General features: G+C 46.0%; 1 protein-coding gene and 1 long non-coding RNA gene across 2 annotated transcripts, besides 6 other annotated features; one reads left to right on the top strand and one right to left on the bottom strand.

Moving 5' to 3' along the window:
* Window positions 863-6,523, bottom strand: RPS7 (ribosomal protein S7). Its single transcript, NM_001011.4, has 7 exons — window positions 6,433-6,523; window positions 6,099-6,191; window positions 5,895-5,966; window positions 5,153-5,296; window positions 4,009-4,073; window positions 1,523-1,673; window positions 863-978 (listed from the first exon to the last, which is right to left on the bottom strand). The coding sequence occupies exons 2-7, from the start codon at window positions 6,171-6,173 to the stop codon at window positions 901-903; spliced, it is 585 nt and encodes a 194-aa protein (NP_001002.1). The 5' UTR covers window positions 6,174-6,191; window positions 6,433-6,523; the 3' UTR covers window positions 863-900.
* Window positions 5,818-6,394: an enhancer, noted in NCBI's record as "H3K27ac hESC enhancer chr2:3622979-3623555 (GRCh37/hg19 assembly coordinates)". NCBI's record gives its function as "activates a minimal SCP1, AML or CMV promoter by ChIP-STARR-seq in naive H9 embryonic stem cells {active_cell/tissue: H9 hESC(naive)}" and the evidence as "EXISTENCE:reporter gene assay evidence [ECO:0000049][PMID:30033119]".
* Window positions 5,977-6,266: a silencer, noted in NCBI's record as "silent region_11116". NCBI's record gives its function as "represses an Ori minimal core promoter by ATAC-STARR-seq in GM12878 lymphoblastoid cells {active_cell/tissue: GM12878}" and the evidence as "EXISTENCE:reporter gene assay evidence [ECO:0000049][PMID:35858748]".
* Window positions 6,395-6,970: an enhancer, noted in NCBI's record as "H3K27ac-H3K4me1 hESC enhancer chr2:3622403-3622978 (GRCh37/hg19 assembly coordinates)". NCBI's record gives its function as "activates a minimal SCP1, AML or CMV promoter by ChIP-STARR-seq in naive and primed H9 embryonic stem cells {active_cell/tissue: H9 hESC(naive and primed)}" and the evidence as "EXISTENCE:reporter gene assay evidence [ECO:0000049][PMID:30033119]".
* LOC124907726 (uncharacterized) lies at window positions 6,674-13,301 on the top strand. The gene is made up of 2 exons (XR_007086196.1): window positions 6,674-7,648; window positions 10,545-13,301. It is a non-coding gene; the product is annotated as an uncharacterized LOC124907726 (long non-coding RNA).
* Window positions 11,680-12,285: an enhancer, noted in NCBI's record as "H3K27ac hESC enhancer chr2:3617088-3617693 (GRCh37/hg19 assembly coordinates)". NCBI's record gives its function as "activates a minimal SCP1, AML or CMV promoter by ChIP-STARR-seq in primed H9 embryonic stem cells {active_cell/tissue: H9 hESC(primed)}" and the evidence as "EXISTENCE:reporter gene assay evidence [ECO:0000049][PMID:30033119]".
* Window positions 12,286-12,892: an enhancer, noted in NCBI's record as "NANOG-H3K27ac hESC enhancer chr2:3616481-3617087 (GRCh37/hg19 assembly coordinates)". NCBI's record gives its function as "activates a minimal SCP1, AML or CMV promoter by ChIP-STARR-seq in primed H9 embryonic stem cells {active_cell/tissue: H9 hESC(primed)}" and the evidence as "EXISTENCE:reporter gene assay evidence [ECO:0000049][PMID:30033119]".
* Window positions 12,893-13,498: an enhancer, noted in NCBI's record as "NANOG-H3K27ac hESC enhancer chr2:3615875-3616480 (GRCh37/hg19 assembly coordinates)". NCBI's record gives its function as "activates a minimal SCP1, AML or CMV promoter by ChIP-STARR-seq in naive H9 embryonic stem cells {active_cell/tissue: H9 hESC(naive)}" and the evidence as "EXISTENCE:reporter gene assay evidence [ECO:0000049][PMID:30033119]".

Here is a 15,219-nt window from a genome sequence, read left to right as displayed (position 1 = left end):
GTCGCCTCAGAGGCTTCCTGGAATGAGTCTATCTGTGGGAATAATTTGTTGTAAAACATGTTATTTGGGGGGTTGTTCAGTAAGATTGTCTCTTCACCCTATAGAAGCAGGAAGGTAAATTTTACAGGTCATTTTAAGGCTTATCAATACCTGAAAGCAATCTGGCACAAAGCCAAAACTGAGGAAATAATTCTCTAAGAAGACATCTGCTCCACCCTACAAAGACCTGGTCCAACTCCAGTCACCTGACACCACACCAGGGTCCTCACTTCAGGCTTTCATTTCACCCAGAGCCTTCGTTTGATGAAGTGGAAAACTAAGGAAGTGAGGAATTGGAATACCCAAGTTTACACACCACTTAGCATCTACTAAAATCTTAATCAGACTCTGACATTTAACTTGTGAAAGTCCGTTTAACACCTAACATGAGTTTATGTATAAAAAATTCAACAAATCTGACAGAATGAGAAGTGGAGGTGCTGGTTTCATGGGTAATTTGAGTTCTACAAGATGAATAAAAAAGTTCAGAGTTCCCTTTCCCAACTTTGTAGATACACTTAAGGCTACTGAGCTGTAAAGTTACAAATGGGTAATATGGTAAATTTTACGTATAGCACAATAAAAAAAGTACCTGCTATATTTTTAGTTTGAACCATGCAAAAGTGCCAATATTCAGCCATTTCTGCAGCATCACGTGATGACACTTGTACCCCTGAATACAAGCAGAACCTCACAGGCATCAAGCTTTCTGGCACAGACACCCCTCCTACTGAAATCCTCTGGCCCACACAGGACGCCACTGATAATGAAGACAGCTGCGCATCCGTGAATTTGGAATTTTGAAAAACATAACTGAAACAGAGTACTGTGAATATATACTTTTTATTTAGTCATTTTTGTTTACAATTGAAACTCTGGGAATTCAAAATTAACATCCTTGCCCGTGAGCTTCTTATAGACACCAGAAAAAGTTTCAACCTACAAGAAAAGAAAGAATTCATCACAGAACTTTGAAATACACACTCAGCTTAAAACCTAATAGTTTCGTGAAATTGTGCCCTGTATTGTTTTTCTCCTCAGCAACTAAGTACACACAACATGTCTGCAGCAGTCTTCACGACCGGGGACAAGCTCTTCTCCAATGCTGTGGGACAGAACTGTACACCACTGCACCGGGGAAGCCATCAGGGGACCCCAGCAGTCACCCACATGGTTATGTCCCCCCAAGACACTGATCCCATCACCACCCACCCCTAACTCACCAAGAATATACAGCCTAACTAAAAGACCACAGAAAGAGTCTACTTCCAAAAGGTACAGAGAATTTCAAGTGTTCAATTCTTGAAACATCTCCATTTAACACCTGACACATAATCCAAAGGAGAGCAGGCTGAAGTGCGGGTAAAAGAACTAGTCCTGAGTTTACTACAGTCATTGCTATGGTGGCGCATGGAGACTGGTTACACTAAAATCCACTCTCACTGTGGCTGAACCTTTCCATGATAAAATGTTGACCTATTACCTTGTGTTCCACATTGTTCTGCTGTGCTTTGTCCAAATGAACCTTTATGAGCCGGCTGCCATCTAGTTTGACGCGGATTCTCTTGCCCACAATTTCGCTTGGGAAGACCAAGTCCTCAAGGATGGCATCGTGCACAGCTGTCAGAGTACGGCTAAAAGAATAGTTTAAAAGGTAAGCAACCTAGCAACGCCTGCCCTCTGGGCAACTCCAGAGGGCACCTCTTTAAGTCAAAATGAAAATGCAAATCCCAGGTTCCTGAAGTCAAATTAACACTCATTTTCAAATAAGCTTGTTATATTTCACGTACCAAACTAAAGCCTTTGCCTACCTAGAATAGGGTAATAGCTTACTGATTTATTTCAAAAGCTCAGTCAATTTTAAATGTTACTCTGGGATAAACTACAAACTCACCAAGGCAATGAGTGACCATCTCTAGGGAATGTGAGATTAGAGGACTTTTATACATCTTTATTTTCACTTGTATTATTTCTCAACTAAATCACTACAATAACCTTTAACACTCTTGCTCATCTCCAAAACCACCCCCTTCCAATGTCAAGATAATCTTTCTAAAGCACGGATATGATCACATCATTTACTTAGCATCACAGAACTGCCAGTGGAATCTTGCTCCTCGTCTGAATATCACTACCAAGTTCAAAACCTACCTACCTGCCACCTAACAAATGAGAAGTTTCAATTAATTGCAAGCTTTTGGGGCAGCTACCATGTACCATGAGACATCAGGAGTAAGTCAAGAGACGGTTCTTTGTTTCAGCATTTAGGGAGCTGCCTTACATATGGTTATCTGTCTACGTCTCACCCCATAGTAGCTAACAATAACACTATAGTCTACTCATTTGGATTTCCTATCTGGCAGCGCCCATATACACAGTTAACATCTTCTGGTGGCTCTCAATTTTACTGCCAACATCTTAATATGTCACAGCCACAAAGGGCAAAAGCCTGAACAAAGTCCATTTCCCAAAACCCTCATCACCTTTCAGAAAGCAAATCAAGACAAACGGATTATTCATTGCGACTCATTAATTAAGCATATTCTTACAATACTAGGAAAGCACCCAAATACGGAAATTAGATTCCAATGTCATCTACAATCTTTTAAAATGGGGAGCAATGGCACCATAACTCAATCATCACAAACCACAGGGACTGGAGCGCTTTAGAGGAAAAACCCTGCTATACCCAAAAACTATCAATTTCAGCATTTAACCTGAGTTAGATAAAGATAGCTCTACTGAATAGGGAAAATAAATCTGAAAGCAGGAAGCCGGATTGGAAAAGTGGTAGAATCACTATGACCTACCAGCTAGGCTTAGTGTGAAGGCTTTCAATGTACAGACTAGGTCCCACTAGAAACACTGAAGCCATTGTCTGAGAAAATTTGGAAAACAGAGGTTTGTACTGAGGGAAACTAAAGCTATGGATTTGAGGGACAGTCCTCTGGGACTGTTCTTATACTCATTTCCTAACTGAGGTTCTCAGAACTGAGTTTCCAAAACCCTCTTTAAGTGTCATGATTTAGGGGAAAAAAATCCTAAATTCTTATGCCACTCTGCCTTTAAAAGTTTTTCAAAGTACTAAGCCATAGAATTCAAGTTCTAGAAAAGCTGGCACCTACCTTTCCACATACCACAGCTCGACACAATAACACATTACCAGACTCCCAACACTGTGTTCTAGTGGTTTTCAGAACAAGACCGAGTTAAAAAAAAAACATTCTTAGCACTACTAGTACTAGCTGCAATCAGCAAATTATCCCAGCCTTGGATCAGTTTCCTCATCCACTGAGAGTAACAATACAAATTAAACATGTTAGAGGGCACAGGCAACACTAGGATTTTTTTTTTCTTCAACTCATCCTTAGGGAAGAGTCCACAGGGATTTAATAGTTCACATTTGTAAAACAACATACTAATCAGAGACTAACAAAATACCAAAAGATCTAGTTCAAGAAGACAACTACCAATATTTGAGTTTATGCCAGATAACCTGTAAGTCAATCAAGTTCATAAATCATTTTCCATCAGCATCTTCAACTGCAGTGATATTTTAACCTGTGATGTTATCACCAAAATCCACCTACATTTTTTTACCTCCAATCCACAGCAAAAATAAAAATCAAAGATAAATCCAAGCCCATGTCAACTGTGTCTAGCATGCTATATCACAGAATTAAAGTAATGATTTCCTTCTCATCATTCCTATCCTGTGCACAAATAATCGGAGGAAATCATCTCATCTTGTGACAGCACTGACCTAGTAGGCAAACAATGGCTACATGAATACATGTATGTTTTACATCTAGAATTCTAAAACGTATCATGTGCAACTATACAGGAAACCAAATGCTGCTACTCAAAAATTCCCACTTGAACATCTGTTTTCATAAACTACAACTTAAACAAATTAAGAGTTGTTAATAAGAGGGGTACACACATTTCTGAAACTACTAAAATACTCACCTCCTGGGACGCTTTTGCTTATTTTTTGTACGGCTTTTTCGAGTTGGCTTAGGCAGAATTCTCCTCTGTAAGGTAAAAATTATCATGTAACAAAATGAAAAAAGACTTTAAATTGACAAAAAGCTGTAACTGCCATACTGCTTTAAAAGCAAGAAGAATGGCAGGGTAAGTTCAAAGTTCGAGAAGGCTAAACAACTTAGACGAACAATTGACTGAGCAAACCCTTCTATGGAGTTACTTCCTGATTCTTGAATAAATCATTCAGAATCCACAGCCTCTACTAATACGCCAGTGGACAAAATCTCCCAGATACGCCTTTCCCCATGCCTATGACCCAGAATACTACTTTTATTCCAGATCAATCCTGGCACTTCATTCCCCATAGACTTCAGTTTGCACCAATCCCCCATCCGAACTGTAACAGGTTTCTTCTTTTTTTGAGATGGAGTCTCGCTCTGTCGCCCAGGCTGAAGTTCAGTGGCGGGATCTCGGCTCACTGCAAGCTCCACCTCCCGGGTTCACGCGATTCTCCTGCCTCAGCCTCCCGAGTAGCTGGGACTACAGGCGCCCACCACCACGCCCAGCTAATTTTTTGTATTTTTTAGTACAGACGGGGTTTCACCGTGTCAGCCAGGATGGTCTCGATCTCCTGACCTCGTGATCCGCCTGCCTCAGCCTCCCAAAGTGCTGGGATTACAGGAGTGAGCCACAGGGCCCGGCCTGTAACAGGTTTCTTAGTTTGATCATCTATGTAAGCAACCCACTAGACTTGTGGAAATTTAAATATGGGAAATCATTTTCATAACTCAAAACACAGCAGTCTGTCACTTTACAGACTTCTTGTTTCGACTCTTAATTAAAGAACGTACTTTATCTTTCTTTTTAAAACTTATTTTTTCTATTTTTTGTAGACAGGGTCTTACCATGTTGCCCAGGCTGGTCTCTACAGTGATCCACCCGCCTCCACCTCCCCGTGCTGGGATTACAGGCCTAAGCCACGGCGCTCTGCCTGTACTTTATCTTTCTACCCAATTGGATTCATAAAAGGATTGTTTTCATGACTCCAACTACCAATGCAGTCTAAATACAAGCAATTTTAGCAAAATTCACAAACAGAAACGTGCTGCAACAGTAGAACAGATACCTGAGCGATAAAGACGACATGCTTCCCACTGAACTTTTTCTCCAATTCGCGTACTAGCCGGACTTGGATTTTCTGGAAAGATTTCAGTTGAGGAACGGGAACAAAGATTATGATAGCTTTCCGACCACCACCAACTTCAATTTCCTAAAGAAAAAAACAAAAATCCACTGTGTTAACTGCTTCAGAAAGTAAACGTTGTGGTCAAATTAGAGGATAAGAAGACCTTATCACTAACACCGTAGCTGCACTACAAACTAATACTAGTTTTGAGTTAATCATAAATGCATCCTTCGGAAATGTTCTCATCTCTCTCCAACCTTCACATTTCCTTATTCCAGGAAGGGAGACTGTTCAGGCCAGGAGGCCAATCACTACCACTTCTGCACCCCCACTTGCGGCAACTCCGGGCTAAGGGTAGAGAGAATCTCATCCTGAGCTCCCCACAGCTCTTTGCCGTATCTATAACTAAGTAAGGGCAAATAAGGTCCGAAATGGGCCCAGGCCCTCCCTACTCCACGTTTCTCCACCGCCCGCATGTGGACAGCTTAAGCCGCAGGGTACCTGCAACCCCACTCCCCGCACCTGGGCGGTATCACTCCCAAACAACACGGCCGAACCTGAGTTCAGGTTAGGCGGCCAGGCGGCAAGTCATCATCAACCGTAACCCAGGTCCAACCCTCTCAGGCACTGCGCGGGGAGACGCGCCGCAACCTCCCTCCCAGCCGAGGGAGCGCCAGCTTACCTTAGCTGCCGTAATATTCAGCTCCCTGAGCTGAGCCTTGAGGTCCGAGTTCATCTCCAGCTCCAGAAGAGCCTAAGAAGCAACGAACAGCAGGACCGACCCTGAGCGCGCGTCCGAGCACCCCGGGCCCAACACACGCGCGGCCGCCTCCCCTCCCGGGCGGGGCGCCTCCCCCCACCCCAGACCCCAGGGAAACCCTCTCACCTGGGAGATGCCGGACTCGAACTCGTCCGGCTTCTCGCCATTGGGCTTCACGATCTTGGCGCTCGAACTGAACATGGCTTTCTCCTGGGAGAACTGAAGGCACAGCGGTCAGCGTTACGCGGCCCGGGCTGCAGGCGCCGCTGGCTCGCCCTCCCGCCCGCACCCCCCGGCCAGGCCCCGCTCGCCCCGCAGAAGCCATCGGAAAGCACAGGGCGGGTAATCGGCTGTATCCCCACCCTGTGAGCAAGGCTCGCCCCTCCAGGGCCTGACTCCAAAAGGCGTTTTCCTCAACCCAAGAAGAAAAGTTCTGTCGGAGAGCAGGCCGCCAACCTACCTTGCCGAGCGCCGGCTTAGGAAGAGACCCAAATCTCGCGAGAGCACGTCAAAATCCGGCGTCCGAAGGCAAGAGGCGGAAACAGCGCGAGGAGGAGGGCGGAAACCGGAACATCACTGAGAAGCGGTAGGAGGCTAGAGAGTCCCAGGAAGCGGCTCTGGGGACGAGTGTCTTGGTAACGCTTTTCCGCCCTAGGATTCGTACTTTGGTGCCGTTTCCGAGCGTTCCGGTACCGGCTCCCAAGGTTCCCGTCTTCAGTGCAGGTTGCAGGCGGGAACCGGCCTCGTCCCAGCCCTGGGCCTGGGAGAGAGAAGGAGGCCGAAGAAAACCAACTTCGGCAACCTCCGGAGACAGGACGTTTAAAAAAGGCTAACTTGGCTGGGCGCTGAGGCTCACGCCTGTAATCCCAGCACTTTGGGAGGCCGAGGCAGGAGGATCACTTGAGCTCAGGAACCAGCCTGGGCAACATGGCGAGACCCCATGTCTACAAAAAAAAAAAAAAAAAAATTAGCCAGTCATGGTGGTGCGCGCCTGCAGTCCCAGCTACCCCGGAGGCCGACGCGGGAGGATCGCTGGAGCCGAAAGGTCGAGGCTGCCGTGAGCCGAGGTTGCACCACTGCACTCCAGCCTGGGCGACAGCGCAAGACCCTGTCTAAAAATAAATTTAAAAAAAATTGCGAGGCCTTCATTCTATGCTAGTACTGTACTAGGTGCTAATTATTAAGTAAAACCGACTGAACTCTTGCCCTCATGGAGCTTACAGTTCAGTGGAGAAGACATTACCTAAAGCAGTATGACTAAATATATAATGACATATTGTAATAACTTACATAACAGTACAATGAGAGGGTGGGGAGGGATTATTTATGCTTTAAGAAGTCGGGAATCCTGGAACGGAATGACATTAGACTGAGACACGGAAGAGCCGCAGGATCTATTGCTGGGGAAGAGCATTCCAGACAGGGAGGAACTCGTGCCGAATGATCCCGCTGTGGACAGGGAATTTAATCTGAGCTTCGGTTTCCTCTTCTGTCAAATGTCATGCAAGAGTTACTTTCAGCCGTGGTCCAGGCACTGTGAAAAATGCAGAAGCCACACTAGGTGCCCTCTCTCAGGATTCCCAACCACCTTTACCAAGCAGAGATGGTATTCATCCCACATTTTTAATGCTAGATATGCTCCCGCCCGGTGCTTCTCTAATAATGTTTTTTAAAAGGTAAGTGACTGTCTCCTTGGAAAATTAAGGATAACTTGAAGTTTCTTCCAGATAGAAAGTAAACTACAGCTGCGTCTACAATCTCATCTGGGCAGTCGTTCTGAGCCCTTTTGTCGAACTAGGTCCATTTCCTTACTCCACATGCACTTTTCGACCTGGCTTTTATCTCTGCTGCTCTATAAAAGTAGTAATCTAAAAGTTCATCCAGTAAAGCTTTTTCTCTGTGAACCTATCACTTGAGAACAAAAAAAATTAAAGTTATTTCTGGTTTCCAGTCCTTTGTTGAATAGGAGTGGTGAGCAAGGACATCCGTGCCTTGTTCTCCATCTTAGGGGAAAACCATTCAGTCTTTCACCATTAAGTATAATATTAGCTCTAGGATTTTGCAGGTATTTTTAATCAAATTCAGGAAGTTCCCTCTGTTTCTATTTCTGAGAGGTTTTTTTAAAATCATGGGCCGGGCACGGTGGCTCACGCCTGTAATCCCAGCACTTTGGGAGGCCGAGGCGGGTGGATCACGAGGTCAGGAGATCGAGACCATCCTGGCTAACACGGTGAAACCCCGTCTCTACTAAAAATACAAAAAATTAGCTGGGCGAGGTGGCGGGCGCCTGTAGTCCCAGCTACTCGGGAGGCTGAGGCAGGAGAATGGCGTGAACCGCCGGGGGCGGAGCCTGCAGTGAGCCGAGATCGAGCCATTGCACTCCAGCCTGGGTGACAGCGAGACTCCATCTCAAAAAAAATATATAAATAAAAAATAAAATAAAATCATGAATGGATGTTGGAGTATGTCAAATGCATTGTTTCTATGAACTAATATGATTATGTGAGTTTTTCTTTTTAGCTGTTAATGTGCTGTTAATATACATAAATGCTTTTCCTTTCTAACTCTTTAGCTTTGAGCCTCATGAGATCCTAAGAAATGTGATTTTTAAAACCTAGAACCTGATAGAAGTTGATAGAGGTTGCACATGTATTTTTAATAGGTAGTTTCAGGATCATAATCACAACTTAGAGGGTCATTCTACTAATTTTATGTTAGGAAATGCCTACTAATCATTACATTAGATTGTTTTCCTGGTTTTACTAGTACTAGCTTCTTTATTATTTAACCATACAATAAGTGAGTCGATAATACCAACATGATTGACAATGAACAGAAATATCATCTATGCAATCCACTTACTTTTAGAACACTTTGTTAACTCTTTTATGTATCATTATGGACATGGGACATTTCAGATTTGCTGTACATCAATCAGTCTCAGCCAATATTCTCCTTTGATCCTCAAATTGTCTCAGTTGTGACCAGGAGGGGCCCCTCTTAGATAAGCAGCCGAGTCTTGTCATTTCTATGAATGTCTGAACATCTTGTTTTCTGGCACAAGATATTCCAGGCTCCTCTTGTAATTTTCTGCCTGAGACATAGAATGAGCCTTTTCTCCTAGAAGTGCTGATACTTTTGTTTTTGTTTTTCTGGAAAAATAGTACTGGAGACCAGAATTTTGGCAGCAGGAGGCATCGTGGGGCTCCTCATAAGCCGTTTCAGCGGACAGAACTTAGAAAGATGGCATTTAAAATAATTTTTTCATAAAAGATACAAGTTCACATTGACATTCTCAATCCACTTCTAACAGAACAATTCCTTCTGAAATCCTCGATTCTATCATAGCATCTCCTTTTCTCCTGTAATAAAAACCTTGCTTCCTAAACACAAAAATACAATTACTTGCTTTATCTGACACTATGAGAAAATACATTCAAAATAACAATGCAGGTGGGCCGCAGTGGCTCACACCTGTAATCCCAGCACTTTGGGATAATCCACCCAGGGTGAGTGGATCACTTGAGGTCAGGAGATAAGCCTGGCCAACACAGGGAAACCCTGTCTCTACTAAAAATACAAAAATTAGCCAGGTGTGGTGCCACCCGCCTGTAATCCCAGCTACTCGGGAAGCTGAGGCAGGAGAATCGCTTGAACCTGGGTGACATGAACTCCTGACCTCATGTGATCTGCCCACCCTGGCATCCCGAAGTGCTGGGATTACAGGTGTGAGCCACCATGCTCAGCCCTTGTTGACTTTTGAATATGTGAAACACTCTGCTTCTGAAAGTCAAAGCCATCTAAGGAGGTCACTCCCTTGAGAAGGCCACACTCCACCGGCCCCTGCCTTCCCTCCTGCACCCAACCTTGCTTTCTGGTTCATGCTTCCTGGGTTTCTTTTTGCTTGAATGTATATTTTCTTACCTCTCCTTCATTCTTACACAAAAGCAGGATTTGATTTTTGCATTTTGTGTTCGCCTAAACATATTTCCTGGAAATCCCTCCATGTCAGTTCAGGAGACCTCCCTCATGCTTTTTCACCACGGCGTCGCTCTCCGCTGGGCTGTCAGACCACTTTCACCCAGCCCGTGTTCTGTGGAGACACTTGGACTGCATCCGAGTCATACTCAACATTTTGAAATTTTAAACAATGCCCCACAAATAAACTTAGGCATATGCGTTAGGATGCTTTTGGAGCAGCCCCTTTGGGATAAATTTCTAGAAGTGGGATCTCAGCCTCAAAAGGTAAAGGCATAAGTAATTTTGTTACGCATTGCCACCTTCCCTTAGAAAAGCGCTGTGCGTCATATGGGAATTCTTGTTTTCCCACAGCATTCCCAACAGAATGTGTCATCATACTTTTTAATTTGTTTCTATCTGACAGGTGAAAAATGAGACCGCAATGTAATTTAATTTGCATTCTCTAATTCAGAGTGAAGTTGGCATCCTTCCATGGGTTTCATACGTTCAAGGACCATTTTAAAGCGTTTTATACGTTTTTGTGTGATTGTTTTCTGCTCATATTTTAACCATTTTTCTTTTTTCTTTTCTTTTTCTTTTTTTTTTTTTTAGGTTGAGAGCAGAATTTTAATAGGCAAAAGAAAGAGAAGAGCTCTCTGCTGCAGACAGGAGTCCTGGAGAAATGGGTTGCCCTCTTTTTTCTTTTTCTTTTTTTGAGACAGTCTCTCACTGTCACCCAGGCTGGAATTCAGTGGCGCATTCGTACCTCGCTGCAGCCTCAACCTCCTAGGCTCAATCGATCCTCCCACCTCAGCCTCCCGAGTAGCTGGGACTATAGATATTTAACCATTTTTCTATTGAGATTTGGTCTTCTCCACCACCCACCACAGATTTTTGTAATTAGAGGTCATTTTTCCAAACAAATGATTCTTAAGGTCCTGCTGTCTCTGAATATTATTTTTATAGAACAAGCATAAGTATAATTGGATCAATCATCTAACCTTTCAGATCCTCAACTTAGTCTTCCATTAATGAGAGGATTAAATCCATTAGTTAAATGTTCTCTAAGAATCAGTGTGTCTCCAACTTCAGTGTACAAACAGCGGGTCACCCAGGGATCGCAGTGGGACGCAGACGCTGATTCCGCAGTTGTGGACTTGGTGGAGGTGGGCGCTGTCTCAGTCCATCTGGGCCGCTATACAGAGTGCCACAGACAGAGTGGCTTACGGACAACAGATGCTCATTTCTCACTCTCTGGAGACTGGAAGCCCAAGATCAAGGTGGCAGAAAATGCCGTGTCTGAAGAGGAACTGTTTCCTTGTTCACAGCCTCTTCTCACTGTGTCCTTGCAGAAGGGCTGAGGGAGCTCTCCAGGGGCCTCCTTCATAAGGGCACTCATGCCATCGTGGGACTCCACTCTCACGACCTCATCACCACCCAAAGACCATCACTTTGGGGGTTAGGATTTAACATGTGCACTTTGGGGGGACACACACATTCAGTCCACAGCAGCTCCAATATGTTGCATTTCTAATTAGCTCACAGGCAATGCTGATGATACTGGTCCAGGGACCACACTTCGAGTAGCAACAAACCAGATAGCCACAAAGAGGAATTAATAGATGTAGCATTAAGGAAGAAAGATTCCTTCCAGTGCCAAGGAAACTCATCACAGTACCTCCAATACCGTGTCATCCTGGAGGGACCACAAGACCCTGGATAGTTGGCCCAGGACAGAATACTGCTGGGGGTTTGGAGGGTGGCAGTTAAAAAGCCAAGATCTGTTTACCTGTTAAAATATATATTCTTGCCCTCTCCCTCTCCCTCTCCCTCTCCCTCTCCCCACGGTCTCCCTCTCCCTCTCTTTCCATGGTCTCCCTCTGATGCCTAGCCGAAGCTGGACTGTACTGCTGCCATCTCGGCTCACTGCAACCCCCCTGCCTGATTCTCCTGCCTCAGCCTGCCGAGCGCCTGCGATTGCAGGCACGCACCGCCACGCCTGACTGGTTTTTGTATTTTTTTGGTGGAGACGGGGTTTCGCTCTGTTGGCCGGGCTGGTCTCCAGCTCCTAGCCGCGAGTGATCCGCCAGCCTCGGCCTCCCGAGGTGCCGGGATTGCAGACGGAGTCTCGTTCACTCAGTGCTCAATGGTGCCCAGGCTGGAGTGCAGTGGCGTGATCTCGGCTCGCTACAACCACCTCCCAGCCGCCTGCCTTGGCCTCCCAAAGAGCCGAGATTGCAGCCTCTGCCCGGCCACCACCCCGTCTGGGAAGTGAGGAGCGTCTCTGCTTGGCCGCCCATCGTCTGCGATGTGAGGAGCCCCTCTGCCTGGCTGCCCAGTCTGGAAAGTGAGGAGCATCTCTGCCCGGCCACCATCCCATCTAGGAAGTGAGGAGCGCCTCTTCCCCGCCATCCAGCCCATCTAGGAAGTGAGGAGCGTCTCTGCCCAGCCGCCCATCGTCTGAGATGTGGGGAGCACCTCTGCCCCGCCGCCCCATCTGGGATGTGAGGAGCGCCTCTGCCCGGCCGCGACCCCGTCTGGGAGGTGAGGAGCGTCTCTGCCCGGCCGCCCCGTCTGAGAAGTGAGGAGACCCTCTGCCTGGCAACCGCCCCGTCTGAGAAGTGAGGAGCCCCTCCGTCCGGCAGCCACCCAGTCTGGGAAGTGAGGAGCGTCTCCGCCCGGCCAGCCGCCCCGTCAGGGAGGGAGGTGGGGGGTCAGCCCCCCGCCCGGCCAGCCGCCCCTTCTGGGAGGTGAGGGGCGCCTCTGCCCGGCCGCCCCTACTGGGAAGTGAGGAGCCCCTCTGGCCGGCCACCACCCCGTCTGGGAGGTGTACCCAACAGCTCATTGAGAACGGGCCATGATGACAATGGCGGTTTTGTGGAATAGAAAGGGGGGAAATGTGGGGAAAAGATTGAGAAATCGGATGGTTGCCATGTCTGTGTAGAAAGAAGTAGACATGGGAGACTTTTCATTTTGTTCTGTACTAAGAAAAATTCTTCTGCCTTGGGATCCTGTTGATCTGTGACCTTACCCCCAACCCTGTGCTCCCTGAAACATGTGCTGTGTCCACTCAGGGTTAAATGGATTAAGGGCGGTGCAAGATGTGCTTTGTTAAACAGATGCTTGAAGGCAGCAGGCTCGTTAAGGGTCATCACCACTCCCTAATCTCAAGTACCCAGGGACACAAACACTGGGGAAGGCCGCAGGGCCCTCTGCCTAGGAAAACCAGAGACCCTTGTTCACTTGTTTGTCTGCTGACCTTCCCTCCACTATTGTCCTGTGACCCTGCCAAATCCCCCTCTGCGAGAAACACCCAAGAATGATCAATAAAAAAATAAATAAATAAATAAAAACATTTAAAGAAAAAAATATATATATATTCTTTTCTTTATTAAAAATATATATATTTTATATATAATTTCTTCTCTATTATGTAGGATCCTGTGCCTGGAATGTATAATCTCTGTGCTGCAGAAAGCCTAGAGGTCAGATAGGTGAGGAGGCCACAGGCTTCAAAGTCATTCTTCCCCTCCGAATCTTAATGTTAATAACGGAGTGACAGAAGGAAAGTTACTAATGAGTCCTTGCATGTGAGATGAAGTTATGGACCTGTCTGCTCGATCAAGAATTAATGGATTGCATTTAACAGAAGGTCCTTTCTCTCCCCTCCACTTACAGCTGGCAGAGCCTTTATTATTATCATCGTCCGTGGACCAGTGCAAGTGAGATGAATATGCCAGGCTGTAATGAGAGTGAACTCCTGGGTTAGCACACGCTTAACTGAAGCAAGGTCACAGGCCTGCTCTGTAAAGTCAAGGCCACTTTTCCTGTATGGCAGTAAACCGTCTCTAGACATGGGCGACCTGTGGGTATATGGAAAGTAATTGCTCATATATTAATATTTAAAATATAGAAATATTTGCACTCGATTTTTATCATAAATTGATAATTTGCTTACCTTTGATAGATCTCATCAAAAGAAACACTATTCTTACCATTAATTGTCACAAAATATGTACAGGATGAAAAGAACACTGGTTCTTTTCATCCTCTATATGCCCGGATAATTTTTATATTTTTAGTAGACACAGGGTTTCACCATGTTGGCCAGACTGGTCTCGAACTCCTGCCCTCAGATGATCTGTCTGCCTTGGCCTCCCAAAGTGCTGGGATGACAGGTGTGAGCCACTGCACCTGGCCAGTTATCTCCATTTTTCACAGGAGAGAACAGAATTGGAGCAATGCAGCAGATGCACACAACCAGCAAACCTAGAGCTGGAATCCGAAGTCGATGCATGTGAACGTCCCAGCTCAGAGAGAGGCGGTGAGCAGGAGAGGACTGGGTGAAAATGGTTCGCACACACACCTTTGTCTTCATCATTTAGTCCTCCAGGGTGTCACATGGACTACGCCACTTGACCTCCACAGCAATTCTGTGGCATTTGTGCACCAGAAACTTTATCCCTGTTTTGCCAGCGAGGAAACTTAGGTTTGGAACGGGTAGATCACCGCACAAAGCCTTACTGTAAAGAGCGCCAGGCCTCAAACTTTTGCTGGCATTGTCCTTCACAGTTTACTTTAGGGCCTGTCATTTACTGGGGTGAAACACAAAAGTTTCTTGTCCCTGAAAGTCTGCAATTAAAGTGCCATTAGCACAGTAATGTACCAACCAGTCGTTCCTTGGGCCGCAAGGGGGCATGTCTACTGCTACTCAGTCTCAGTGGGTAAGCTGGAGAGTCCTCCCACAATGAGCAGATTCCGAGGCGGGTGTGTACATGGAAGGACTCACAGGGGTTGGGGAGGCAGCAGTGGCGTTCTGTCCGAGCCTGTTTGTGTTGCTATAAAGGAATACTCGAGGCTGGGTAACTTATGAAGAAAAGAGGTTTATTTGGCTCAAGGTTCTGCAGGCTGTACAAGAAACATGGCGCCAGCATCTGCTTCTGGTGAGGCCCTCAGGGAGCTTCCACTCATGGCAGAAGGGGAAGGGGAGCTGGCATCAGATGGCAAGAGAGGAAGGAAGAGAGGAGTGCGGGAGGTGCCAGGCTCGTTTCAACATCAGCTCTGGCAAAAACTAACAGAGCAAGAACTCACTCCTTCCCGAGGGGACAAGAGGATGGCACCAAGAGGCACATGACCCCAAGACTCCCAGTAGGCTCCACCACCAACACCAGGAATCAGATTTCAACATGAGATTTGGAGGGACCAGGTATCCAATCTATCCATCCACTCCAAGCATCCATTTGATACCCAGAATGCATTATTTCAGCACCCGTATCCATTCAACAAA

Source organism: Homo sapiens, chromosome 2 (genome assembly GCF_000001405.40).
Source record: "Homo sapiens chromosome 2, GRCh38.p14 Primary Assembly".
Taxonomy (NCBI): Eukaryota; Metazoa; Chordata; class Mammalia; order Primates; family Hominidae; genus Homo; species Homo sapiens.
Note: the sequence above shows the minus strand (reverse complement) of the source record. Positions and strands in the feature narration are given on the sequence as shown.

Bases quoted from the DNA above. Each gene is read 5' to 3' on its own strand.
- RPS7 (NM_001011.4), bottom strand. From the start codon at position 6,173: ATGTTCAGTTCGAGCGCCAAGATCGTGAAGCCCAATGGCGAGAAGCCG. The intron at 5,297-5,894 runs GTAAGCTGGCGC...TTTTTTCTTTAG, and splicing joins TGAATATTACGGCAGCTAAG to GAAATTGAAGTTGGTGGTGG. The intron at 4,074-5,152 runs GTATCTGTTCTA...TTTACCTTACAG, and splicing joins ATGTCGTCTTTATCGCTCAG to AGGAGAATTCTGCCTAAGCC.